General features: G+C 44.4%; 1 protein-coding gene and 1 long non-coding RNA gene across 5 annotated transcripts in view, besides 2 other annotated features; one reads left to right on the top strand and one right to left on the bottom strand.

The window, feature by feature from the left end:
• Positions 4,006-4,559: an enhancer, noted in NCBI's record as "OCT4-NANOG hESC enhancer chr22:37291564-37292117 (GRCh37/hg19 assembly coordinates)". NCBI's record gives its function as "activates a minimal SCP1, AML or CMV promoter by ChIP-STARR-seq in naive H9 embryonic stem cells {active_cell/tissue: H9 hESC(naive)}" and the evidence as "EXISTENCE:reporter gene assay evidence [ECO:0000049][PMID:30033119]".
• On the top strand, positions 10,777-12,053 carry LOC105373022 (uncharacterized). Its single transcript, XR_938229.2, has 2 exons — positions 10,777-10,885; positions 11,212-12,053. It is a non-coding gene; the product is annotated as an uncharacterized LOC105373022 (long non-coding RNA).
• Positions 20,919-21,111: a silencer, noted in NCBI's record as "fragment chr22:37275012-37275204 (GRCh37/hg19 assembly coordinates)". NCBI's record gives its function as "represses an EF-1alpha promoter that drives an FKBP-Casp9 reporter gene in an ReSE screen in HepG2 liver carcinoma cells {active_cell/tissue: HepG2}" and the evidence as "EXISTENCE:reporter gene assay evidence [ECO:0000049][PMID:32094911]".
• Positions 22,066-26,937, bottom strand: part of NCF4 (neutrophil cytosolic factor 4) — a 17,010-nt gene continuing 12,138 nt past the window's right edge. For 3 of the 4 annotated variants that reach the window (NM_000631.5, XM_047441385.1, XM_047441384.1), the window contains 3 exons: positions 24,298-24,428; positions 23,987-24,052; positions 22,066-22,453 (listed from right to left, as the gene is read on the bottom strand). In NM_000631.5, the coding sequence (NP_000622.2) occupies positions 22,258-22,453; positions 23,987-24,052; positions 24,298-24,428 (393 nt within the window). In that variant the 3' untranslated portion in view covers positions 22,066-22,257. Of the gene's footprint in view, positions 22,454-23,986; positions 24,429-26,937 lie in introns of all 4 variants that reach the window. The other variant, NM_013416.4, reaches the window with a different exon arrangement.

Here is a 26,937-nt window from a genome sequence, read left to right as displayed (position 1 = left end):
GCAGCCTCAAGGGTTCCTGCTCCCCTGCATCAGGGCGCCTCACACCAGCCAGGAGGGCCTTCCACGTTCTTAGGATCTTTGTTTTCTTGCTAACTACAAGAGGAAACTTGACAGAGGTAGAAAATCTGATTGATTGAGGGGAGTCAGAAAGGTTCCAGAACTGTGTCCCATGCCCTTACTGTGTGCAGAACTGTGCTTTCATGGCCCTGGAGGAGAGCTCCTGTCCCTTTATTTCCATGAGGATGAACCCCCACTCTCAATGCTGCCTAAGGGAGTGGGCCCTGAGGAGGCCTTTACTGCCCACTTGGCACCAAATTACCAAGAGTGGAAGAAAGGCCAGCTGTCTGGTGGCCCCAGGCCAGCTGGAACTGGTCACCACCTTCCCCAAGGTGACCATCGTGGTCAGGCACAGCACATCAACTTTCTAGCTCTCCCTAGTCACTGCCAGAAACCCAGGCTCCCAGGACATCCCTTAAGACCCAACTTCATCCCCAAGTCCTCCATATGTAAGTCCTCTTAATAGCATCTACTGTCTGATCTCTCAGCCTTTCCAAGCTCTTCCCTGTACCTGTGGGAACTCATGGTCTAGCAAAATCCCCTGCTCTTTTTCTCTGACTGTTCTCTTCATTCCTGTTAGGGGTTGAATTGTGTTACCTAAAAATCCATATGTTGAAGTCCTAACCCCAATACCTCAGAATATGACCTGATTTGAAGACAGGGTCTTTACAGAGATAATCAAACTGAAATGGGGTCATTAGAATGATCCCAAATCCAATATGGCTGGTGTCCTTGTAGAAAGGAGAAATTTTGAGACAGACGCACATTCAGAGAGAGCACCATGTCAACATGAACACGCTTTGTGCAAGCAAGAAGAGGGACCTGGAACAGGTCCTTCCCTCATAGCCCTTGGAAGGAACCATTCTGGAGCCACCTTGGTCTCAGACTTCCAGCCTCCAGGACGAAGCCATCCATGTGGTACTTTGTTCTGGCAGCCCTAGGACACTCATGCCACCCTCTTGTGCCAACTCAAACCTGTCCTCCCTGAGCACACTGCTTCCTTGCAGTTCTCTCCATTGGAGGCTGATTTTCTCCTTCATTCCTGCCTTCTAGAAACCCCAGCTCATTTGCAGCTCATTCTGTGTTGCTGGCATCTACCAATGATCTGGTCAGCGCCCACCTATCCTGATGACGTCAGCACCCAGCTCTTGGTCTCCCTCCCTCCACTTCCTCAGGTTGCCATCTCCCAAGAGCCATCCAGCCAATACCTCGACCTCTTGGTCATTCACCTCATTAGTGGCAGAGCTGGAATTCAGAGCTAGTTTCTTTCCACACCAGCAGCAACCAATAGGTGAAGAACACCGGCCCTGGGGTTAGCCTACTTGGAGCTGATTTCTGGCCCTGCCACCTATGGCTGTGTGTTCCTGGGCAAGTCTTTTCATCTCTTTGGGTATTAATGTCTTTGGCCATGAAATGGGGATAATACTAACAATAGTATTTACTTCATGGTATTGTTATGAGGATTAAATAAGAAAATCCAAATAAGGATCTATGTGACACATAAACTCTGAAAATGCTATTATAAATAGCATATATAAATGAAAAAAATGCTGTTATTATTTCCTGGAAATAAGAGCATTCTAGCAGGTAGAACTTTGTAACCCAAGAGGATGGGAATAGAGTTAGAGAGAGGGCAGTCCAGGGGACTGTTTCCTTGATTACTTTATATAATAGTGGTAAAACGAGGTCTGAAATACAGAACTTCTAAGTCCCAGAAAATGACTGTAATAAATATGATCAATTTATATTTATTGTATCAGTCAGGGTCCAGTCCATAGACAGAAATCACACCAATTATCTGACCAGAGAGAACTTAACATGATTTGTTAATTAAGTATAGAGTTGTTAACTAGGTAACTAAAAGATTAAGAGAGTGAGCCAGAAAGAAAGAGAGAACTGTAAGGTATCATGGTGGTAACAACTGCAGGAAGCAGCTTTCACCCCTTGCAAAAGGGAAGAGGTTAAAATTATAAAAACTGAGAAACCAAGAGGAGGAAGATGAACCTGCGATCTCTGAGAAGGGGTCACTGTTCTACTGGTGTGTGTGTCAGTCTGTTCTTGTGCTGCTATAAAGAAATACCTGAAACTAGGTAATTTATAAAGAAAAGAGGTTTAATTTGCTCATGGTTCTGCAGGCTGCATAGGAGGCATGGTGCCACGTCCACTTAGCTTCTGAGGAGCCTCAGGGAGCTTTTACTCATGGAGGAAGGCAAAGCGGGAGCAGGCATGTCACATGGCAAGAGAGGGAGCAATCAGCCCCAAACAAGTTTGAAACCCGATAGGGCAGTCACTAAATCTTAAAGCTCCAAAACAATCTCTTTGACTCCTTGCCCTGCATCCTGGTGTTAGGGGATGCATGCCCTGCATCCCAAGGCCTTGGGCAGCTCCACTCTTGTAGGTTTGAAGGGTGCAGCCCTGTGGCTGCTCTCTTGGGTTGGAGTTGAGTTCCTGCAGCTTTTCTACACGAGGTCCTAGACTCTTTTAAACAACCAGATCTCATGTGGTTGTTGAACTAACTGAGTGAGAACTCACTCATCACCATGGGGATGGTGCTAAACCATGAGGGTTCCCCCACCCCCCCGTGATCAAATGCTTTCCATTAGGCCCCACCTTCAACACTGGGAATCACATTTCAACATGAGAGTTGAAGGAGATAAACATTCAAGCTCTATCATTCCTCTCCTGGCACCCCAATTCTCGTGTCCGTCTTGCATTTTAAAATACAATCATACTTTTGCAATAGTCCCCCAAAGTCTTAACTCATTCCATCCTTAACTCAAAAGTCCCAAGCTCCAAATCCCAAGTCCAAAGTCTCATCTGGAGATGAGGTCCTTCTGCCTATAAGCCTGTGAGATTAAAAACAAGTTATTTACTCCTAAGATACAATGGTGGTACAGCCATTGGGTAAATATTCCCATTCCAAAAAAGAGAAATCAGCCAAAAGAAAGGAGCAATCAGCCCCAAACAAGTTTGAAATCTGGCAGGGCAGTCACTAAATCTTAAAGGTCCAAAACAATCTCTTTGACTCCATGCCCTGCATCCTGGTGTGAGGGGATGCATATCCTGCATCCCAAGGCCTTGGGCATCTCCACTCCTGTGGCTTTGAAGGGTACAGCCTTGTGACTGCTCTCATGGGTTGGAGTTGAGTTCCTGCAGCTATTCTACATTGAGGTTGCAAGCTGCCAGTGATTCTACCATTCTTTCCCTTCCTTCCTTTCTTTCTTTTTCTTTCTTTCTTTCTCTTTCCTTCTTTCTTTCTTTCTTTCCTTCTTTCTTTCTTTCTCTTTCTTTCTTTCTTTCTCTCTTTCTTCCTTCCTTCCTTCCTTCCTTCCTTCCTTCCTTCCTTCCTTCCTTCCTTCCTTCCTTCCTTCCTCTCTCTCTCTTTCTTTCTTTCTTCTTTCTTTCTTTCCTTCTTTCTTTCTTTTTGAGATGGAGTCTCACTCTGTTGCCAGGCTGGAGTGCAGTGGTGCAATCTCGGCTCACTGCAACCTCCACCTCCTGGGTTCAAGCGATTCTCATTCCTCAGCCTCCCAAGTGGCTGGGATTACAGGCACATGCCACCACACCTAGCCAATTTTTGTATTTTTAGTAGAGATGTGGTTTCACCATGTTGGCTAGGATGGTCTCCATCTCCTGACCTCGTGATTGGCCAGCCTCAGCCTCCCAAAGTGCTGGGATTACAGGTGTGAGCCACCGCGCCTGGCTGACTCTACCATTCTTGATTCTAGAGGGCAGTGGCTCCCTTTCCACAGCTCCACTAGGCAGTGCCCTGGTGGGGACTCTGTGTGGGGGTTCCAACCCCACATTTCCCCTTGGCACTGTCCTAGTAGAGTTTCCCTGTGAGGGCTCCCCTCCTGCAGCAGGCTTCTGCCTGAACACCTAGGCTTTCCCATATATCCTCTGGAAACTAGGTGGGAGATGACAAGCCTCCTTCATTCTTGCATTCTGTGCACCTGCAGGCTTAATACCACATGAAAACTGCCGAGGCTCACTGCTTACACCCACTGGAGTGGCAGCCTGACTGTATCTGGAGCTCTTTAACCTGAGACTGGAACCAGAGCAGCAGGGATGCAGGGAACAGCATCCTGAGACTACACAAGGCAGTGGTACCCCAGCCTGGCCCCTGAAAGCATTGGTTCTTCCTAGGCCTTTGGGCCTGTGATGGGAGCAGCTGTGAAGATTTGCCTTCAAAGAAAATCTTGAAAACGACTTCAAGGCCTTCAGTGCCTTCAAGACCTTTTCCTCATTGTCTTGGATAGTAGCACTGATTCCCTTTTAGTCACGCTAATCTCTTTAGCAAGTGGTTACTCCACAAGACTCTTTTAAACATATTACTCTCCTGAAAATGCTATTTCTTTCTCTGTCACATAGCCAGGTTACAAACTTTTCAAACTTTTACACTCTGCTTCCCTTTTAAATATAATTCCAACTTTAGGTCATTTCTTTGCTCCTGTATCTGAGCATAGACTATTAGAAGCAGCCAGGTCCTGTCTTGAATGCTTTGCCACTTAGAAATTTCTTCTGCTAGATACCCTGGGTCATCACTCTTAAATTCAAACTTCCGCAGATCCCTAGGTCATGCATCAATGCAGTTCAGTTTTGTGCTAGGGATAAACAGGGGTGATCTTTACTCCAGTTCTCAAGAACGTCCTCATTTTCGTCTGAAAATTCTGTCAGCATGGACTTCACTATTCATATCTCTATCAGCATTTTGGTCACAAACATTTAACCAGTCTCTAAGAAATTCCAAACTTTCCCTCATATTCCTGTCTTCCTCTGAGCCCTCCAGATTCTTTCACCCTCTGCCCGTTACCCATTTCTAAAACCACTTCCACATCTTCAGATATCTTTATAGCAATGCCCTACTCTTTGGTACCAATTTTTTGTGTTAGTCCATTCTTGTGTTTCTATAAAGAAATACCTTAAACTGGGTAATTTATGAAGAAAAGAGGTTTAATTGGCTCATGGTTCTGCAGGCTGCACAGGAAATGTAGTGCCAGAATCTGCTCAGCTTCTGGGAAGGCCTCAGGGAGCTTTTGCTCATGGCAGAAGGCAAAGTAGAAGCAGACCCATTACATGGGGAGAGAAGGAGTGAGAGAAAGAGAGAGAAGGGAGAGGTCCCAGACTCTTAAACAACCTGCTCTCGTGTGAACTGAATAAGAACTCACTTATCACCAAGGAGTTGGTGCTAGGCCACTCATGAGGGATCTGGCCCCACGATCCACTCACTTCCCACCAGGCCCCACCTCCAACACTGGGAATCACATTTCCACATGAGATTTGGAGGGGACAAACACCCACACAGTATCAGCTGGTGCTGGTGTCTTGTGTGGGGGCCAGGGGAAAAGGGGAGTTTCTCATCAAAACTGGTTCTGCCAGGGCTGGAGAAGCTGCAAAATGGATTTAAATGCTGCCACAGGAAATAATTGCTGCTGCTAGGGTGAAGGGTGAAGAAGTATTCCTACAGTGAGGCTCACTGGAGCAGCAAGTAGGCAGGAAGGTGCAAGTCCTCTCTTCCTCCAACCTCACAGCTCACAGCTTCCCTCTAGCACCCAAGTTGGCAGAGGGTACCAGGAACCAGCTGACATCACTGTGGTTGGGAAGTCCCAAATCCAGTATCACAACAAAGTACAGAGGGATGAGTTTGGAGCTGAGAGATAATAGCTTAATAACTGGCATTGGCAGGTTTTTTTTATATGGGCGTAAAATAAGGAAATGGGCTGAGAGTGAGTTGGGAAGGGACTGGGTTATCTAATAAAAAGATGAATTCTTGTGGCCACATTTATCAGGGAATTCCCTAGTTTTCTCTGTTTATGAGCACTTTGACAGCCATTGAGTGACATCCTCCCAGAATTTAGAAGACAGGCCCTCACTCCAAGAGCTAAACTGTATAGTCATGCAATGCAAAGATAGGCCAACCACCTCATAAAACAGACAAAAAATGACAATCTGAGGGCAAAAGTTTGCAAAAACGTATGCAAAATACAGAGTTGGTATCCTGAATAGCAAGAGATATTATAACTAAGTAAGAAAAATATGAACATACTAATTAACAATAGTTCATAAAGGAAGAAATGCAAAGGGCCAATACATGTAAAAAAAAGTTTAATCAAACAGGCATGTAGCATCACTGGTGAGCCATCTCTGGGTCTCTGTACTTCAGGCTTCAGAAACATCTTGTCCCTTTTGCAAGACTTTGAACTCATTCATCCCATAGTACTTTTGTTGCTTTGGTATTCTTTGACCCAACCCCTTCTTCCAACACACAGACACACACACACACACAACACACACACACACACACACACACACTGATCTTTAGAGGTTCTATGATTCAGTCATGGGCACTCTAAGATTCTAATTACCCAGTTTTGAAAGTTGTAAAATGTTAGAATCAGCAAGAGTTAATGTTGCTGCTCAAGGGTTCCGCTTTTCAAGCAGGAGGGGCACAATCCCTAGGCCCAAATCACCAACCATCCCAACTTGAGTTATTTGGGCCGAAGTGTACATTATTGAAATGTCAAATGTGTGAACAAGTCCATCCTGCTCTGCAGGAAACTTGATGATGACTTCTCATAGCACTGCAGGAAGAGAATGCAGCTTGTGAAAGTCTATTTAACAGCCATAAGCATGTCTCATACACAGTTGCTGGATGGTTTACTGTTTCTAGGGACAGTTTTATTCCTTGAAGAAATTGTTATAGTGGCATGGCGGGAACAGGAGAGTATGCTGGAGGTCTCCATGTTTCCTCCAGATTCCAGCTGGCCTTTACTATGCCATAGTCGCCATTTCAAATTGCTTAGTTTCTTGGTAAAGCTTCTTTTTAGGTGGTCTTATTTTTTTAAGTCTGTGTTATTGATGGGTGCTGTGTGGCAGGCAATGTACAAAATATATTTCCTATTGTCGCAAAAACCATGCAACGAAGGGAGGTATGAAGATAAGGAATCTTATCTCCTGATACTTGACTTTTTCATTCAATCATGTTTCTAAGAATCATCCGTGTCATCATTGTGCTATAATCACTGTATAAACCTACTGTTCTCTGGACAGGTGTTTGGGTTGTTTACATTTGTTGAGAGCTATTACGAGGAGTGCTGCCATTATTATTAGACCATTTTACAGATGGGAAGACAGTCTCTTACCCAAGTTATCCAGCAAGGAGGTAGCAGAGCCAGAAACCATGTTTTTACCTCCAGGGCCTCATGGCCTCCCCTGCTTTCTTTCAGCATCTTCCTAACAGCCTCTAAGTGAGTGGTTGTCTGCCTTTCTTTTTCAGCATGAACTCCCTGCTCTCCACCCCCACTCCCATGCTCAGCTGAACCTGTCCTCCCTGTCCTTTGTCCCATTCCTCTTTCCCCCTAAGGACAAACCTCCAGCCCATGGTTATTGTAAGGTTATTCCCTGCACTTGTTTGCAGGGAAACAGAATATTAACCAGAACTTCAAAGGTGGAAAGTCCCAAAGTTTTCAGCCTGGGAAGAGAGCTCCAGGTCCCTCCAGCCAGCAATGCTAGGCTTGGACTCCTGCCTCACCATTTCCTCTCCAAGGGGAGGCTCACCACAGCCTCATCCCACCCTGTCTTTCAGGAAAACCCCACTCCTACCACGTGGCCAGCAATGCTCTCCTGGCATAACAGATCAAAGTAATTAATTTATGCCAAATGAAGTCAAAGCTCTGAAAACTGGAGAATAAGAATCTTTTATGGAAACCGATTTTTAAGCTTGTAAACTATATGTTACCTTTAATGTCATATTTGATACATGCAAAAGATTATGTGTAACCTATATGTAAGCCATAAAGTATAATAAACAGCTGTGAACCCACTCCCCCACCCACTCAACCCCAAGTATTCCAACAAATTTCAGTACCTGTTACTGATACTTACCTATGTCTTCCTCTCCTATGCCTTTGCTACCTCCCTCCCAAAAATAACCACTATCTTGAATTTTGTATCTGCTATTTCTGTTTATAGTACTTGAGCTTTAAAAAAATAGAATCTTATCTTCTGATAGTTGATTTTTCATTCAATTACATTTCTAAGAATCATTCATGTTGTCATTGTGCTATAATCACTGTATGAACCTACTCTTCTCTGGACAGATGTTTGGGTTGCTTACATTTGTTGGGGGCTATTAGGAAGAGAGCTGTCATGAATGTTCTTGCTTATGTCCCAGGGTCATGTGCAAGTTTCATTGCTGAGTCATAAGATATGGGAATGTTCAACTCTACAAAAAAATTGCAAACTGTCTTCCAGAGATTGAACCAGTTTGCACTCCTCTTATTACTACTGAGTATCTTTTTATATAGTTATTGACCATTTTTTTTCCTCTTTACTGGAATATCTAATCATGGCTTTGCCCGTTTTTTATATAGTTGTCCTTATTTTTCTTATTAATATGTGGGAATTCTTTATGTATTCTAGATACTAATCTTTTGTCAGTTACACATCTTGCAAATATCTTCTAGTCTTTGGCTTATCTTTTCTCTTCCTTGTGTCTTCTTTTTGTTTTTTGTTTTGTTTTGTTCTGTTCTGTTTTTAACAGGGCCTCTGTCACCCAGGCTAGAAAGCAGTGGTGCAGTTGTAGCTCACTGCCACCTCGAACTCCTGGGCTCAAGTGATCCCTTGCCTCAGCTTCCTGAGTAGCTGGGACTATAGGCACATCAGCTAATTTTAACATTTCTTTTATAGAGACAAGGTCTAGCTTTGTTCCCCAGGTTAGTTGCAAACTTCTGGCTTCAAGCAATCCTCCTACCTGGGCCTTCTCAAGTGTTGGGATTACAGGCTGAGCCACTGTGCCTCTTCTCTTGTGACTTTTGATGATGAGAACATCTTGAGCTTAATGTAATCAAATTTATTAATATTTATTTATTTTTGTTTTCTTTATGAAATTGTTCTCTATCCCAAGATTTGGTAGATAGCATCCTATATATCTTCTCAAAGTATTACTTTTCTGTCTTACAGTTTAATGCATAAGTTGCCTTTTGGAATGGTTTAAGTTAGGGATCCAATCTCATTTGTTTTGTGTTCCATATGGCCTAGCAATTGCCCAAGCACCATTATGTGATTTGATTTCTCTTCCCCCAACTAATCTGCAAATCTACCTTTTTTTTTTTTTTTTTTTTTTTTTTGAGACAGACTCTCACTCTGTCACCCAGGCTGGAGTGCAGTGGTGTGATTTTGGCTCACTGCAACCTCCGCCTCCCGGATTCAAGCGATTCTCCTGCCTCAGCCTCTTGAGTAGCAGGGATTACAGGTACATGCCACCACACCTGACTAATTTTTGTATTTTTAGTAGAGAAGGGGTTTCACCATGTTGGTCAGGCTGGTCTCAAACTCTTCACCTTATGATCTGCCCGCCTTAGCCTCCCAAATTGCTGGGTTTACAGGCGTGCGCCACTGTGCCCGGCCAAATCTACTTCTATCACATATCAAGTATTTCTGGGCTCTCTATTCTGTTCCATAGATAAATGATCAGTCCCTAGGACAATATTACATTGTTTTCATTTCCATTGCTTTATAATAATTCTTGCTATTCTAGAGGTCATCTCCCATCACTTTATACATCTTCAGGAGTAACTTGGCTATTTCAAGTCCTTTGCTCTTCTATATAAATGTTAGAAAAAGTTTATGAAAATATATACAAAAACAAAATAAAACAAAAAGAAGAAATAAATTATTGGGATTTTTTTCTATTTGCATCAAACCTATGGATAGCTATAGATCAGTTGGGAGAACTGGCAGCTGTGCAATATTAGCCTCCTATTCATGAACATGGGTTGTCTCTCCATTTATTTCAGTTTTCTTTAATCTTTCAGTTAAGTTTTACCATTTTCTACATACAGGTGTTGCCTACCTTTGGTTAGATTTATTTCCAAGTACGTTAAGGTTTTATTGATGTTGTAAATGGCATCTCTTTTAAGAATTCTTTTCAAATTATTTATTGCTGTCGTCTAGAAAGGCAATCAACTTTTAATGTTAGCATAATCAGCCACACAGTGACGCACTCTTATCACAGTGAATGATTTGCCTATACATTCTATTGGGTTTTCAATGTAGACGATTATAGCAAATGTGAATAATGACAGATATGCTTTTGCCTTCCAATTCTTAGGCTTTTATTTCTTTTTAATGCCATGCTGCGTGGCTGGGGCCTCCAGTGTTGGTAGATGAGCGATAGTGGACATTCTTGCCTTTCTACCATGTAAAGGAACTGCTGCTATATTCAAATGTGCTCCTACTAAATGTTAGAATGATGTTTGCTGCAGATTTTCTTGAAGACAGCCTTTATTAAATGAAAGGCATCGCTTTTATTCCCAGTATACTAAGAGGTGTGTGGGTATGTGCACGTGCGTTTAATTTAAATTCATGAATAGGTCTTGAATTGTATCAAATTATTTTCCCCGCATCTGTTGAGTTGATCATATAGTTTTTCTCCTTTATTCTTTTATGTGGTGGTGAATAATTTTTTTTTTTTTGAGGCGGAGTCTCGCTCCGTCGCTCAGGCTGGAGTGCAGTGGCGCGATCTCGGCTCACTGCAAGCTCCGCCTCCCGGGTTGACGCCATTTTCCTGCCTCAGCCTCCCGAGTAGCTGGGACTACAGGCGACTGCTGCCACGCCCGGCTAATTTTTTGTGTTTTTAGTAAAGACAAGGTTTCACCGTGTTAGCCAGGTCGATCTCCTGACCTCGTGGTCCACCCGCCGAACGAGGTCGATCTCCTGACGTCGTGGTTCACCCGCCTCGGCCTCCCAAAGTGCTGGGATTACAGACGTGAGCCACCGCGCCCGGCATGAATAGTACTTATACATGTTTAGATGCAAATCTTTCCTTGTATGTCTGGGTTAAACCTAATGTAGGCATTTATATTGTCTTTGTGTGTATGTGTGTTTCCTGCTGAATTTAGTTTGCTAAAGTCTCTATCTTCATATATGTGATTGATTTATAATTTTTACTACTTGTACTGCTTTTGCATATTTGGGAATTGCTGTGGTCTGAATGTGTCCCCTAAAATTAATGTGTTGGAAACTCAATTTCCAATGTCACAGTGTTGGAATGTGGAAGTTTTTGGGAGGTGTTTAATGGATTAATACTGTTATAAAAAGGCTTTGCAGGAATGGATTTACTCTTTTCCTTTTCTGCTCTTCTGCCATGTGAAGACATAGTGTTCCTCCCCTCTGGAGGATGCGGCGCTCAAGATGCCATGTTGGAAACAGAGAAACTGGACCCTGATCTACCGGTGCCTTGACCTTGGACTGCCCAGCCTCCAGACCTGTGTGAAATAAATTTATTTTCTTTATAAATTATCCAATCGGTGGTATTCTGCTATAGAAGCACAAAACAGACTAAGACAGGCAAGAAGATTATTCTGGCTGCATAGATGAGTTGGGAAATAGTCTATCTTCTATTTTCTGGAAGATTTTTTTGTAATGTTAGCATAATCTGCTGTTCTAACGTTTGGTAGAACTTGCCCATAAAACTGTATGTGCCTGGGGAGGCAACATTTCAACTTCAATGTATTTAATAGTTAAAGGAAAATTCAGTCTCTCTATTCTCTTGATTTTTTAAACCAAATTATACTATTCTAAGTATTTGTTTAACCTAAATTTTAAAATTTAGAATATAAAGCTTTTGACGAAATTCTCAGTGTATTTTAAACCTCTGTTTCATCTATAATTATGGTTCATTTACATTCCTAATACTATTTTTTCTTCTTTCTTTTTATCTTCATCAGTTTTACCATAGTCTTTCCTAAGAACCCAATTTTGGCTTTGTTGACCTTTTCTATTGTATTTTTTGTTGTTGGTTGTGGTGATCTTGAGTTCTGGCCTTATCTTTATGTCTTTACTTCTCTCCTTGAGCTAATTCTATTGTTTGTTTGTTTTTGTTTTTTTACTTCTGATTTTGGAAGTTTAGCTTGTTAATTTTCAGCTATTTTTCTTTTATGTACTTTCTGTATTGTTATATTTGACTATTAAAAGTGTTTTTTTAAGCCTGTATATGCAAAGTGACCTGCAAACATAGGAGCCAGGATACCAAAGAAGGAAGCAGACGAATCCAGCTTGTTATAGGATGGTTTTATTTGGGAACTTAGGGACTGAAGGATGGTCTTGGGCAGCTGTGAGACAGGTAGATCTCTACACTATTATCCCCCAGACCCAGGGATTATACACCATAAAGAAAGGGTAGCACGCTTAATTTGATCTAAAGGCAGGATTTATGGTAGGCATATGTTCTCACACAAAGAACAATAGATAAAATGGAAATCTTAGCGGCATTCCCAGAACCGGGGTTAATCAGAAGTCAACATGGTGGATTAGCTTCCAAGATGGAGTCACTTTAGCCTCCTCACTGTGACTCCTACACCTTTATTTCCCTCGCTGTTTATTTTGGGAAATGTCTCTCTGCTGCCTTAATGTGTCCCCTCAGGAGAATGCTGCAGATGCTGGAGCAGTGAGCAGCAGCCTCCCTGTCCTGGGGTTATTGTTCTCACTTACTTTCTTGTAACACTCTAGTGCAGTGAAAACTACCATCATCTCTTGAACAAACTTTCTCTTTATTTCATGGGCTACAAGGAAGAGATAAAATGCTGTATCACTACACACCACAGGTGTTAGGCCTTATACCTGACGACGCATGATGTTCTGTGGAGGTGGTTTTACCAGACGTAAACAGGATGCTTCAGTTTGAGAAACCTCACCCTTGTTATCTGTTGATTTTGATTCACTCCCTTAGCTTGTCTAGGTCTCTAAAACTGAAGGACATGAAAGACAAATGAATCTGCACAAAACGTGCAAGGATACTTTAAAAAGAAAAAGAAAAAAAAGTGTTTTTTTAAAGTCCTCACATGGCCAAGCATGGTGGTTCACAACTGTAATCCCAGCAGTTTGGGAGGCCGAGGTGGGTGGATCACTTGAGGTCAGGAGTTCAAGACCAGCCTGACCAACATGGTGAAACCCCATCTCCACTGAAAATACAAAAATTAGCTGGGTGTGGTAGTGCATCCCTATAATCCCAGCTACTTGGGAGGCTGAGGCAGGAGAATCGCTTGAACGCGGGAGGCAGAAGTTGCAGTGAGCCGAGATTGTGCCACTGCACTCCAGCCTAGGCGACAGAGCAAGACTCCAACTCAAAAAAACCCCCAAAAACAAACAAACAAAAAATAAAATCCTCACATGTTTAAAAATTTTAAAACACACTTCTAAGTAACTGATAGCTCAGATAATATCCTAATTGAATTTAAATAGTAGTTACAATCAAATGACAATAGGGCATATGAAAACTTGTGGCATATACAAAGTGATATTTTTTAGAAATTTGAACCATTTGACCCTCCTTGTGCCACTGAGCCAATAGGTGGAGAAAGAGGTGGAGAAAGGTGGATCATCTGAGGTCAGGAGTTCAAGACCAGCCTGGCCAACATGGTGAAACCCCGTTTCCACTAAAAATACAACAAAAAAAAAATTAGCTGGACTTGGTGCTGGGTGTCTGTAATCCCAGCTACTTGGGAGGCTGAGGCAGAAGAATCACTTGAACCCGGGAGGCAGAGATTGCAGTGAGCTGAAATTGTGCCACTGCACTCAAGCCTGGGCAACAAGAGCAAAACTCCATCTCAAAAAAAAAAAAAAAAAAAAAAAAAAAAAAGAAAAAAAAAAGAAAAGAAAAGAAAAAAGAAAGGAGGTAGACAGGACTATGTGTGGTCCCACCGTGATTCACATAGGTGCCTCTCAGTATTTTCTTACCCAATAGTCCTGGTCAATGGAATACTGAGGCAATCTGATAAAGACAAGTCTAACGAGAACTCAGATCCCATAGGAATGAAGTCTTGAGTTGCTCCACCACATAAAGACCCTTATTTGACCCATGTACTGGCAGAGGAAAGAGGAACATGAAATGAACACTGGGAACAGGTAGCTCAAAATATCAGCTTTGGACCTGTGACCAGCTGCGGATGCAGGGGCTCTAACAGCCATGCGTATATTACTTCATTCATCATGCCTCCACTGCTTTATATAAAGAATACCCGTAGCAGCTCACACTTTGGGTTTCAGGTGGGAGTATGTCTGTATGGATATGATCCTAAAATGCCAAAATAGCTGATGGGAATTCCTGTGTTCCCTGTCTTGGGAACATGGAGTTTTCACTTGGCTGAAGGATAAGCGTATATAATGAGGGGCAAAACGGGTGGAGGATGCCAGATATCTTCATTTTTCCCCACTCACATCTACACTGTGCTCTCTTCCGCCCTGCTGTCTACCTTGGGAAGCTAACCTGTGTGGATTACAACAGCCTGGCCCTAGGGCTTCCAGTTTTGTTTGGCAGTAGGGAACCCCTCCCCTGAGATCAGAATGGGGAAGGAGAGGAGGGCGGGGTATTTGTTCCTCTGATCGCCTCCCAGCGGGGTTACTTTGGGTCAATCTCGCCCACCAGTCAAAGATCACCAGTCCTTCTAAGGAGGCCATGTCTACACAATCCCCTCCTTCCAGGTTTTGTAGACACTCCTTCCCTTTATTCCTTTGGGCTCAGGAATGTAACAGGTCTGAGGTCCTATCCCTGGGATATTGAACTATTCCTTGAGGTTTTCCTGTGTGTTGTCTACGTCTTTGTAAACAGTCCCTTTATTAAACACACCTTGAATTATCTTAACTTGAGGATGCCAGATATTCCCTCCTGGACATCTCATGATGTACCAGGAACAGGGTCCCCAAACCAAGAAGCACACTGCAATCAATTGCCTTTTTAATGACTTCTTCCAGCATCCTATTCCATGAGATGCCTACTTGAGAAGCCTGTTTCTAATTGGGTAATTTTCCATTATCTCCTGCTCACCATTAATTGAGAATTGCTCAAGGCCCATAATTAACTAATTAAATATTCACCATATTTTTAATGGGAATGTTTTACTCTGTGTTAATTGTGTAGTCATTATCATCACAGTAACCCTTATCTGTATTTGTTAGCAACTTCCCCACTATGCAAAGAATGAACAATAGCTGAATCACGGTGTTTGACATTTCTTTGGTATCAGTTTTTCTCAGTTATTTCCACTTTTAGCTGATAAACTTTTTGTGCAAGAATGAAGTCTTACATCATCATTTTCTCATAAGTCACAAAAATTCTCCAAAACCTTTATGTACAGACTTGTTTGCAAGCATCAGTATAGTCAGAATCTGTGTCAAATGTGTTAATGTATAATCAGCATCATTCCAAACACTGTCAATTGTGTACATGACATTCTTAACACTGGACTCTTTCGGGAGCCATGGAATCTTAGGTTCTGTGATGGTAGCAAGAGCACAGCCTGAAAAAAAGTGTTTACCCTTCCTCTAAACTTCTTTGCACTTAGGCTAAAATGCACATATCCCCCAAGGGGAAATAAAAGCTGAAACTGCTTTTCCACAAGATGTTTAGGGAGGGAGTATGCATAGCAGTTTCCTAGGAATGATAACATCTAACAATTGTTTTTTCCAAGCTAGAATCCCTGCAATGAGTTTGTACCGCTGGTATAAAAATGTTATTAATCAGTCAGAAAATATTTCTCTGGTTACTCATGGTGTCTAGTATGTGTACTGACAGACGGTAAATTGGATACATCCTACAAAGATGGTGGATGTAGGCTTTTTCCAGTTACTGTCAAATGTATCTGGTGTGTTCCTGTAGCACATGGTACGCCAAGAACAGTCAACAGGGTGTAAGCAATTGGTGGGTCCTCATCAGCCATTCTGCAGAGCAGACTGAAGCCCACTGCCAATTGATCAGAGCCAAGGTTTTCATCAGATACCGTTACTTAACAAATCCACCCATGCAATTTTCATCAGCTTCATTATCAGCAAAAGCTTTTCACTTCTGATTTTGACGGGTTCTTACTTGAGCTGTACATAAAATCAAAATTCATCCCCCCAAAAGCATCAAAAAATAAGGGAATAGCAGAGACACATATGGCTGGTAAGCGTTAACTATTCAGCTCAGGGTCAAGGAGTGCTACCAAGTGAGTTTGAGTACCAAGTTTACACAAAAGTAGATTGTGAATCTGTATAGACGTCCCAGCTGTCTTCTGGTTAGTGGTTTCCAGGAATATCTTTTTTCATACTTTTTTTTTAATTTCAATGTTTCCATGACGTTTTACCTTATGTGTGTCTCTTGTACATATGACACTTACATAGATTTAGATTTTTAAAAATTCAATCTGACAGTCTTTTTTTTTTTTTTTTTGACGGAGTCTCACTCTCTCGCTTAGGTTGGAGTGCAGTGGTGCGATCTCGGCTCACTGTAACCTCCGCCTCCCGAGTTCAAGCGATTCCCCTGCCTCAGCCTCCTGAGTAGCTGGGATTACAGGTGTGCACCACCACGCCCGGCTAATTTTTTAGTGTTTTTAGTAGAGACGGCATTTCACCATATTGGCCAGGCTGGTCTCAAACTCCTGACCTCGTGATCTGCCAGCCTCTACCTCCCAAAGTGCTGGGGTTACAGGCATGAGCCGCTGTGCCCGGCCCTGACAGTCTTTTAACTCATGCATGGAATCCATCTATGTTTATGGTATCAGAATTATTGATAAATTTGGACTTTTTACCAACTCACCCATTGAATAATATATATGTGTGTATACACACACACACACGCACACACATAGATGCGTTCATACCTTCTTTCTTTTACACATCTGAAAATTTGCCATCTCATTCTTTTTTGCTTGTTTATCTTTATGGTTACATTCTTTATTTCTTTAAATATTTCAGTCACATAATTCGGTAATCGGTAGTCCCTGGGGCTCTAAAGCTATTGTTTATTGCCTCTGCTCATTCTCACTCACAGAGATTTGGTGATCTTTGACTATGAGCCTTTTGCTTGATATTAATCAGGGTAACTCCTGCCAGCCTAAACTGGAAATACTTTACTCCAGAGGAGACCCTCTTCCGCTTCTGCTTGAAGCCAGGAATGCCACTCTCTCCAGATCACCTCAGCTCTCACATCTAGGGCCTTGGCCTGGCACGGAAGCCCCTGGCGCAGCCTCCCTATCTCATGGCCTCCCCATGGCTCTGCCTTCTGGACTGCCTCTGCACTCCAGAAAACAACACCCCAACTGCTCTGTATTCTGGTTTCAGCTCCTATCATAGTTTTTTTGGTGGGGAGTGGAAGAATCATTGGAGAACTCCTTTGCTTCTTGTGAGGCTCATAATTCCTCAAAGCCTGTGTCCTAGCTGAGGTCTGGTTGTTTTGTGGCAGAAAATTTTCTTGGTGAATGTGGTCAGGCAACAAACTAGAAGCCAAATAACTGGGTTTGGGAGATCACACCTTGCAAGGTCTTTTAAAATTTTTCTTAAATGGATATTTTCTAGTGTACTGTTGTGGTTCAAATTGTATTCTCCCCCAAAAGATATGTTGAATTTCTAACCCCAGTATCTCAGAATGCAGTGATCTTACATGAGATAGAGTCTTAGCTGGGTGCAGTGGCTCACACCTATAATCCCAGCACTTTGGGAGGCTGGGGCATGTGGATCACCTGAGGTCGGGAGTTGAAGACCAGCCTGACCAACATGGAGAAACCCCATCTCTACTAAAAATACAAAATTAACCAGGCGTGGTGGTGCACGCCTGTAATCCCAGCTACTCAGGAGGCTGAGGCAGGGGAATTGCTGGAACCCAGGAGGCAGAGGTTGCAGTGAGCTGAGATCACACCATTGCACTCCAGTCTGGGTAACAAGAGTGAAACGCCATCTCAAAAAAAAAAAAAAAAAAATAGAGTCTTTACAGAGCTAATCAAGTTAAAATGAAGCCATTAGAGTGAACTTCCTTTAATATTTTTTTGTAATGGCAAGTCTGCTTAACAATGAATATTCTCAGTTTTTGCTTATTTTGGAATGTTTTAATTTCACCTTCATTTTTGAGTGGTAGATTTGTTTTATGTAAGATTCTTGGTTGACAGGAAATCAGCTGTTAGTCTTAATGTAGTTCCCTTTTATGCGGTGAGTCATTTTTCTCTTTCTGCTTTCAAGATTTTCTCTTTATGTCTGGCTTTCAACATTTTGACTATGATGTGTTTAAGTGTGGCTTTCTTTGTATTTTACTACTTGGAGTTTGTTGAGCTTTTTGGATATGTAGATTGGTGGTTTTTTAAAAAATAAAAATTGGAAAGTTTCCAATCATTATTTCTTTTCATCCTTTTTCTGTCTCCTTCTCTCCTCTCTTTCTGGTAATCTCATTATGCATATGTTGGTACACTTCATGGGTCCCACATTTCTCTGATGCTCTGCTCATTTTTCTTCACTCCTTTTTCTTTATTTCTTTCTTAAGATTGCATCATCTCTATTGATCTATCTCTCAGTTTGCTTATACTTTCTCTGCTAACATTCTTTTGCCAACTCAAATCTACTGCTGAGCCTTTCTAGTGGACTTTTCATTTCAGTTATTGTTCTTTTCAACTCTAGAATTTCAATTTGGTTCTCTTTTAAAAAATTATTTATGTCTTTGTATTGATATTCTCTATTTGAAGAGTCATTGTTACAATACTTTCTTTTAATTCTTTAAACATGGTTTCCTTTAGTTATTTAAACATATTCCTAATATAAAGTCATTGTTTGCTAAGTCCAGCATCTGAATCCTTCCCTCAAAGGCAATTTTTTTAGTTTCCTTTGCCTGCTTTTATTTGCCTCCTGTGTATGGATTACACTTTGCTGTGTCTTTGCAATTCTTATAATTTTTTGTTGGGAACTATATTTGCCTGTTCTTGCACTGCTATAAAGAAATACCAGCTGGGTGCAGTGGTTCATGACTGTAATCTCAGCACTCTGGGAAGCCGAGGCAGGTGGATCACCTGAGGTCAGGAGTTCGCGACTAGCCTGGCCAGCATGGCAAAACCCCATCTCTACTGAAAGTACAAAAATTAGCTGGGCAAGGTTGGGGGTGCCTGTAATCCCAGCTACGCAGGAGGCTGAGGCAGGGGAATCACTTGAACCTGGGAGGCAGAGGTTGCAGTGAGCCGAGATCATGCCACTGCACTCCAGCCTGGACAACAAGAGCAAGACTCAGTCTCAAAACAACAACAACAACAACAACAACAACAAAAAACAAACAAAAAAACAAAAAAACACCTGAGACTGCATAATTTATAAGGAAAAGAGGTTTAGTTAGCTCTTGGTTCTACAGGCTATACAAGAAGCCTAGTGGCTTCTGCTTCTGAGGAGGCCTCAGGAAACCTTACAATGATGGTGGAAGATGAAGGGGAAGCGGGCAAGTTTTAAATGGCAAGAGCAGGGGAAGAGAGAGAGAAAGAGGAGGTGCCACATACTTTTAAATGGCCAGATCTCACTCACCATCGCAAGAACAGCACGGAGGGAATGGCACTAAACTATTTATGAGAATCCACCCCCATGATCCAACCACCTCCCATAAGGGTCCACTTTCAACCTGGGGATTATAATTAGACATTAGATTTGGGCAGGGACACAGATCCAAACCATATCAGGAACTGAACATTTTAGATTATATTTTGAAGCAACTCTAGATGCTGCTCTCCTATTCCCTCTAGGGCTTAATGTTTTTGTTATTTGGTTTGTTATCTGTTTACTTGTTTAGTGGCTTCACTGAACTAATTTTGTGAGGGCCGTTTCCCCTACAATGTGTAGCTTATGATGCCCCCGCTCGTATTTTTTCCTCTTGTGTTTTTTTTTTTTTTTTTCTCTCTTATCCTGGTTTCCTAGAGGTTGCACCTGGGTCTGCATAAACCACCTATTGGTGAAAAGTTGTGCTGAAGCCCCCTCAATTAGATTGGTTTCACCCCTTACTTTTGGCCGTGAATGTGGTTTGAAGACATCTTTTACAGTACAGGGTTCAAACTTGCCCCATGTTCAGTCAGAAACTGATAGCCCAGCGTTTCTTTCTCCAGTCACTCCTGAGAGTGATCGGCCTGGGCGTGCACGCAGTCTTCCAGACCACCAGGAAATGAGTGTAATTTTATTTTTAAGCCTGCCTTCCTAAGAATCCCCTCTGTGTCAGATTAGCTTATTGTTCAGCCATTGCTTGGTCAGAGGTTATGCTTCAGCCTCTTGAGCTAGCGTGTTTTGCTGATGGATCTGTATGTGGTTTAGGGAATGATTTCAAGTCTGCCACACTTTCCACTCTGATTTCTGCTGTGTGGGTGCAGCCTGGCACGAGAGCACAATCTTTTGAGTCCTCAGGGATGACTGTAGTCCTAGAACCACTATTCTTCGTTATTTCTTTATCTGGTTCTCTGTTAAATTTCTGGCCTTACATTTCTCTTGATGGCATTAGTATCTAGCCCCTCCTTAATTGCCGGCCACCAAGATTTCCATTATTTTTGCCAACTTCTTCGGCATGCTTCCCAAATAAAGTTAGTCCCCTCAGGAAAAGCTGTGGAATTCTCCATCCCTAAGGCCTGACTCTCTCCCTGGGCAGAACCTCTGCACCACTGCATCAGAGCTGGGGATGGGGAAATCAGCCTGCTTCTCCAGGAGTGATGTCCTGTTCTGTGAGTGGGCACTGGAGTGGAGGACGGTATCCCTTGATCTCAGATTGCCCCTCTCAGCATGGAACCCCTGCTCTACCAGAGGGTTAAGGTTCAGCATTCTTAGCCTGCTACGCCTATTGCAGAGCCCTTGCCCTAGGAGGGGGAGCTGAGTGGGTAAAGGGAGTGTCATGGGTTGAAGTGTTATGTTGGAATTAAAAATGACATGTTGAAGTCCTAACCCCTAGTACTCCAGAATGTGACCTTATTTGGAAAGAGGAGGTTTATAGAGGTAATCAAGGTAAAAGAAGATCACTAGGATGGGCCCTAGTCCAATATGACTTGTGTCCTTATACAAGGGGGAATTTGGATGCAGAGACAGACATGCACAGAGGGAAGACACTGTAAATACACACAGGTAGAATGCCATGTGAAGACAGAGTGATCCATCAACAAGCTAAGGAGCACCAAACATTGCCGGCAAACCACCAGAAGCTAAGAAAAGGCAAGGAAGGATTTCCCTACATATTTCACAGGGAGCATGGCCCTGTGGACACCTAGCATTCAGAACTGTGAGACAATCGATTTCTGTTGCTTAAGCTCAATTTCCTGGTACTTTGTATGGGAACTGCAGGAAACTCAGTCCTCTCTGCTGTAATGACCTGGAATAGTGCTTCTACAACACAGGGCTGCAGAGAGAAGAGATTCTGGCAGCCTGTTCCTCCTGGGGTGAAACTGTGGAAGGTTAGGAGCTGAGGGATGAGGGAGCCCATCTTCCTGGCTGCATCCATCCAGAGTGGAGGATCTGGAGTGGAATTTCCATCACATGGAGCTGGGGGTGGGGGGACGGGAACACGATGTGTCTCCAATGCCACCGACTCACTGTTCTTACTGAGACGTAATGATCTACTTGAACGACTGTCTCTCCATGTGCTCTGTGCCCTTAGAACAATTTCCAGAGACTTTAAACAGTTGATTTTAAGTATTTCTCATCAGTTAAACTGCTGTTTCCCTGGGGAGAGGGTCCACCAAGCTCCTCACACCACCATTGTGGGAGTCACACCTGTTTAATTTTTGGTAGATTAGGATAGAAGGAGATTCAGCTCAGAGAAGGAGATCCCGTTGCTTTGTGTCCCCCTCCTCCTGGATGAGACTAGAGTCCTCCCCCTGTGTCTACTTACAGTGGAGACAACCAACCCCGAGACCTGCCTTCCTCCTCCACAGAGCAGCAGAGACAGGAAGGCAGAGGAGAGCTTCTGACCCTCATCACACAGCCGAGGACTTGGCATTGGTGGAACCCCAGAGGGCACCCAGAGCAGATCACTTCTGTGGGGCAGGTGGCCAATCCCAGGAAAAGGGGAGCAGTGGGAGGGAGAAAGGGTATGGCTTGGGGACCCTCGGGTTTCCCCCCAACACAGGGACAGAGCAAGGAAATGGGGTGGCAGGACAGGGGTCTCAGAGCCAGGGCCCCTGCCAGATATAAATGACGCCCTGTGGATGCTCATTAAATGGTATTTTACTCCCCATGAAAGACACTCTTTCCCGCAGCCTGCCCCTTTCAGATGGAATGGTTTATTTAAATCAGATGTAAATAGTAGAAAGAGACAGATTACAAGCCCCACGGGTCCATTAGCCTCAAAGACAGGAAGTCTGCCCATCCTCCCAGGTTTTCCTGGTCCCAATCTCCTCTGAGAGCTGAAGGTTTTTGCTGGTGTCCCCTCACTGCTCCAGGGACACCGTCAGCTCATGGCATCGTGTTGTAGACCCTGTAGTTGTCCTTCTGCGTGATGTGCAGCTTCCAGGGGAAGAGGCGCTTCTGGGAGGGGAGGCCACGAGCCTGCCGCACCATGAGCGCTACGTCCTCATCCGACAGCAGCCGAACCAGATCCCCCTCAGCGTCCCGGTAATTCAGAGCTATGTCCTCTCTCTGGAACTCCCGCCTGCATGGGAAAAGTCAGGGATAATCAAAGGGCCTAAGCGTAAGGTAGGGGTAGGGAGAGGGGGTGAAAAGGGTTTTATGTCCTGAAGCCAGGAGTAAGAAAAAGTCAGAGCCTGATACAAGCCCGTGTCATCCAAGTAATCTAACCTCCCATTGTACAGATGGGGATATCGAGGCCTAAAAGGGAGAAGAGGCTGGGTGCGGTGGCTCACGCTTATAATTCCAGCATTTTGGGAGGCCGAGGCAGGCAGATTACCTGAGGTTAGGAGTTCAAGACCAGCCTGGCCAACATGGTGAAACCCTGTCTCTACTAAAAATACAAAAATTAGCTGGGCGAGGTAGTATGCACCTGTGATCCCAGCCACTCAGGAGGCTGAGGCAGGAGAATCACTTGAACACAGTAGGCAGAGGTTGCAGTGAGCTGAGATTGCACCACTGCACTCCAGCCTGGGCAACAGAGTGAGACTCCATCTCAAAAAAAAAAAGGAGAAGGAGAAGAGACTTTCACGGAAATTAGTGGCACAGCCTGAAATGTCTCGTGTATAAATGTGCTAAAGGATTAAGAGTTGTGAAGAAGAGTGGGTTTGACTGGGCACAGAGTGGGGCTGTATAAAGCCTCAGAGAGACACCTGTGTGAGGCTATTGAGGAGAACCTTGTAAGGACAGGAACTGTCTGGCCTGGGTGCGGGAAGATGCGCATCCTTCTACTTGGCTGGTGTACGTAGAAATTGATCTGAGCTTTCTACCAGTAATTTCACAGTGTGGGCCAGAAGCCTATGAGACTTGCAAATGCTTTAATCCCCAAATCCACTTCTTGAAAATCATTCAAAGGAAATGATCAGATAAGTCATCAAATAGGTTAACTAAGATGGTCTGTACAATGTTGTTTAGAGTAGTAAAAAAGCAGAAGAAATCCTAAGAGGCCAGCAAAAGCGCATGGCCATGTTAATGATGTAGCCACTGAAAGGTTTTGTGCAGCCAAAGTGACTTTTGTGTGTGCATGTGTGTGTGGGGTGTAAGTACTGAAGAAATCTGAGTGTACGTCACATAACGAGGGGAGTAAAAATATGAGGTGATTTCACTTCTTTGTATCTTTCTGACATGGTTACTGACATTTCTTTTTTAATATATAATGAGTTGGTACAAGTTTTATAGTCAGAAATGTAGCAATGCGGTTACCATTCTGTAAAATAACTGTCCAGCAATGTCCTGGACCTGGGGGGGTAGTGAGTCCCTGAGAGTGGATGGTTCAAGTCCAAGGCTTTTAGCCAGAGAGACTTTAGCTCCAGCTGCAGATCCGGATCTAAACCCACAACCTGCGTGAGCTCAACCAGTTCCCCTAACCTCTCTGCAGCTTCCCCGCTCATCTCTAAAGTGGGGAGATGCTGCCTAACCTGCAGGGCTGGGCTGCGGATAAAAAGAGAAGACAAAGTACACGCAAAACCCCAGCACCTTAATACTAGTGCTTAACATTTCTCCCTGCGCTCTCTTCTCCAGAGTATCTAACTCCCCAGCCCCATTCCCAGCCCCTCACCTTGTGAGCTCCAGCAGGTCTTTCAATAGGGGAGTGCTGCTGAGATCTTCCTCCACCGCGATGTCCCTAAGGGGGTGACAGGCTGGAGTAAGGAGGCATCAGGCTGGAAGTGGGGTGTGGGGTGGGGGAAAGGGGAATGAGGCTGGCCAGGCCACCCTGGACGTTGATGGCTTGTTACAGCATTGTGGCTCATCTGGGAGCCACTGGGGGCTTTGGAGTGGGAGAGGGACCCATGAGAAGGTGATGTGAGGGGCAGTGGTCGTAGGGATGGCAGGAAGGCTGGACAGGCCCCTCCCTCCCAGGCCACAGACTTGATGGTGCTGATGGTGTCTTCGTAGTAGTAGCAACGCAGCCAGTTGGTGGGGTCGTCCTCCTCAGGGAAGTCTTTGAGGATCTTCACGAAGGAGAGAGGGAAGATGCCCGTGGCTCCCCGGACAGTGCCCTGCAGAGGAAGAGAAGGGATGCCATGCTGGTGAGAGGAGAGGCAGCAGAGCCACGCCTCAGAGCCCTCAGCCCCGTTCTAGTGATGGGGAAAGGCAGATGAGGTCCGGGTCTTCTTCTGTAGAGGGAGGAGGGAAAGCGAGGAAGTTCGCTGAGCTGGTCACTTCTAAGAAGGCTTATATTTGGGTTTTACAATATGCCAGAATCTGGATTTATATAGAAAGCTGCTTTTATCTCACTCATTCACTTATTCATTCAACAAAGGCTTCTTGAGAACCAGCCACGTGACAGGCTCTGGGCTCTCAAAATAGATAAAAGTCCTTGGGCCGGGCGCAGTAGCTCACACCTGTAATCCTAGCACTTTGGGAGGCCGAAGCTGGTGAATCACTTGAGATCAGTAGTTCGAGACCAGCCTGGCCAACTTGGTGAAACCCTGTCTCTACTAAACATATACAAATTAGCCAAGCGTGTTGGTGCGGGCCTGTAATCCCAGCTACTCGGGAGGCGGAAGCAGGAGAATCACTTGAACCTGGCAGGTGGAGGTTGCAGTGAGCCGAGATCACGCCATTGCACTCCAGCCTGGGCAACCAGAGTGAAACTCTGTCTCAAAGAAAAAATAATAATAAAAAAATAATAATAAGTCCTTGCCCCCACGGAGTTTCCAGTATGATGGGGAATGACACGCTGTGCGCGCTGTGAACAATGACCTATCCAGTGAGTCAGATGGCAGCAGGTGTTACAGAGGAAAATAGAACAGGGGAGGAAGAGGATGAGGGGTGAGGAAGGGCCTGCTGCTGATCCCGCTCACTCACTCATTCATTCATCAGATACAACTGTGCCTCTACTCTAGACCAAGTAGCCAGAAATCAGACCCAGACCCGGCCATGGCCTGGGCTTTGGGCACGTGTTCTGTTCATCTTCACAACGACCCTATGGAACATGGATTATTTACATGCCATTTTACAAACATATTAACCAAGGCTCAAAGTGGTCCCCTCCCTGCCCCTCTGCCCCCACCTTCAACCTGAGGCCAGAAGTTAGCCAGCATACTGATAAGTAGGACTTTCCGGAAAACAGGAAGGCAATACATGTTTTCTATTTCTGGAAAGTGGCCCAGAGATACTCCTCAGGCCTCTGTAAGAGCCCTGAGTTCCTGAGATGGAGATCTATGATTAGGGTAAAATGGAAACTGCTAAACTGGCTAAACCAGTGGTCACTACTAGCTCCTCTCCAGGGCCTGGACGCTAGGGACCCAACCCAACTCTTAAAGGTCCTGGGACCCCTGGGGGCTGACCCTGCCTCTGGGCCTGTCCCAGAACCTCCTTCAACACTCCCCACAGGAGCACTAAGTCTGAAGACAGGACCTAATACAAAAGGCTGGTCCCAGGCCAAGGCCCAACACAGCCACTTCCCACCTCCACTCACTGAGTCAGAACACAGCCCTTCTGTGGGCCACACAGGGACAAAGCAGTGACTGGGAAAGTCCCTGGCTTTGAAGTTTCATTTAAGTCTCCTAATGACCCTAGTACCTGGCCAGGCGCCGCACACCCAGGCTCTGGGGCGAGCCCTGGCCATCTACCACCTCCTTTACCCTTTCCAGGAAGCCGATGAAGAAACATTTACAGAAAAGGAAACCGCAAGTTTGAGCAAGTTTCCAAAGGTCCACAAAGCTAGTGAAAAACAGAGCTAGGAAATGGCCCAAACAGGCTGACTCTGAGTTCACACTCTTCATCAGCAGCTTTTACTGCTGTGGGCAAGGTATGTACTGTTGTCCCATATTACACAAGTGGTTGCGATTTCACCCCTCAGGAGCAAATATCTGGAGAGCCATGTGATTGGTGCAATTTAGCAGTGCTGCTGGCATCTAGTGGAGAGGCCAGGGATATTGCTGAACAGCCTGCAATGCTCAGGACAACCCCACAAGGGACCATCTGGCCCCAATGTCAATAGTGCCCCTGCTGAGACACCCATTACAGACCAAGAAACTAAACTCAGTAGGTTAACTTACTTGCCCTAAGCAACCCATTTTTCAGGGTCAGAACCAAAGCATGAGCTCCAAGAATGTTCTGCTGCCACCGAACACCTGCCTCCCCAAAGGCTTTGTTCCCGCAGGCTCCCCAACCTGCCTGGATCTCCAGGGCTATCCTCAGATAGCATCTCTTCCCTGAGGCCTTCTGAGACCATCCTCAGTCTCTGAAGCATACAATGCCTGAAGCAACCTCACCTCCAGCCTCACCTCTAATCTCAGCCTAACCTTACCTGCATTCTCACCTCCATCCTCACCTCCAACCTCACCTCCATCCTTATTCCCAACCTCATCTCCAACCTCATCTCTAACCTCACTTCCAACCTCACCTTCATCCTCAACTCCAAACTCACCCCCATCCTCACCTCTAATCTTACCTCCATCCTTACCTGCAAACTCACCTTCCTCACCTCTATCCTCACCTCCATCTTTACCTCTAAACTCACCTCCAATCCCACTTCCATTCTCATTTCTATCTTCACCT

The sequence above is a fragment of the Homo sapiens genome, chromosome 22 (assembly GCF_000001405.40).
Source record: "Homo sapiens chromosome 22, GRCh38.p14 Primary Assembly".
NCBI lineage: Eukaryota > Metazoa > Chordata > Mammalia > Primates > Hominidae > Homo > Homo sapiens.
Note: the sequence above shows the minus strand (reverse complement) of the source record. Positions and strands in the feature narration are given on the sequence as shown.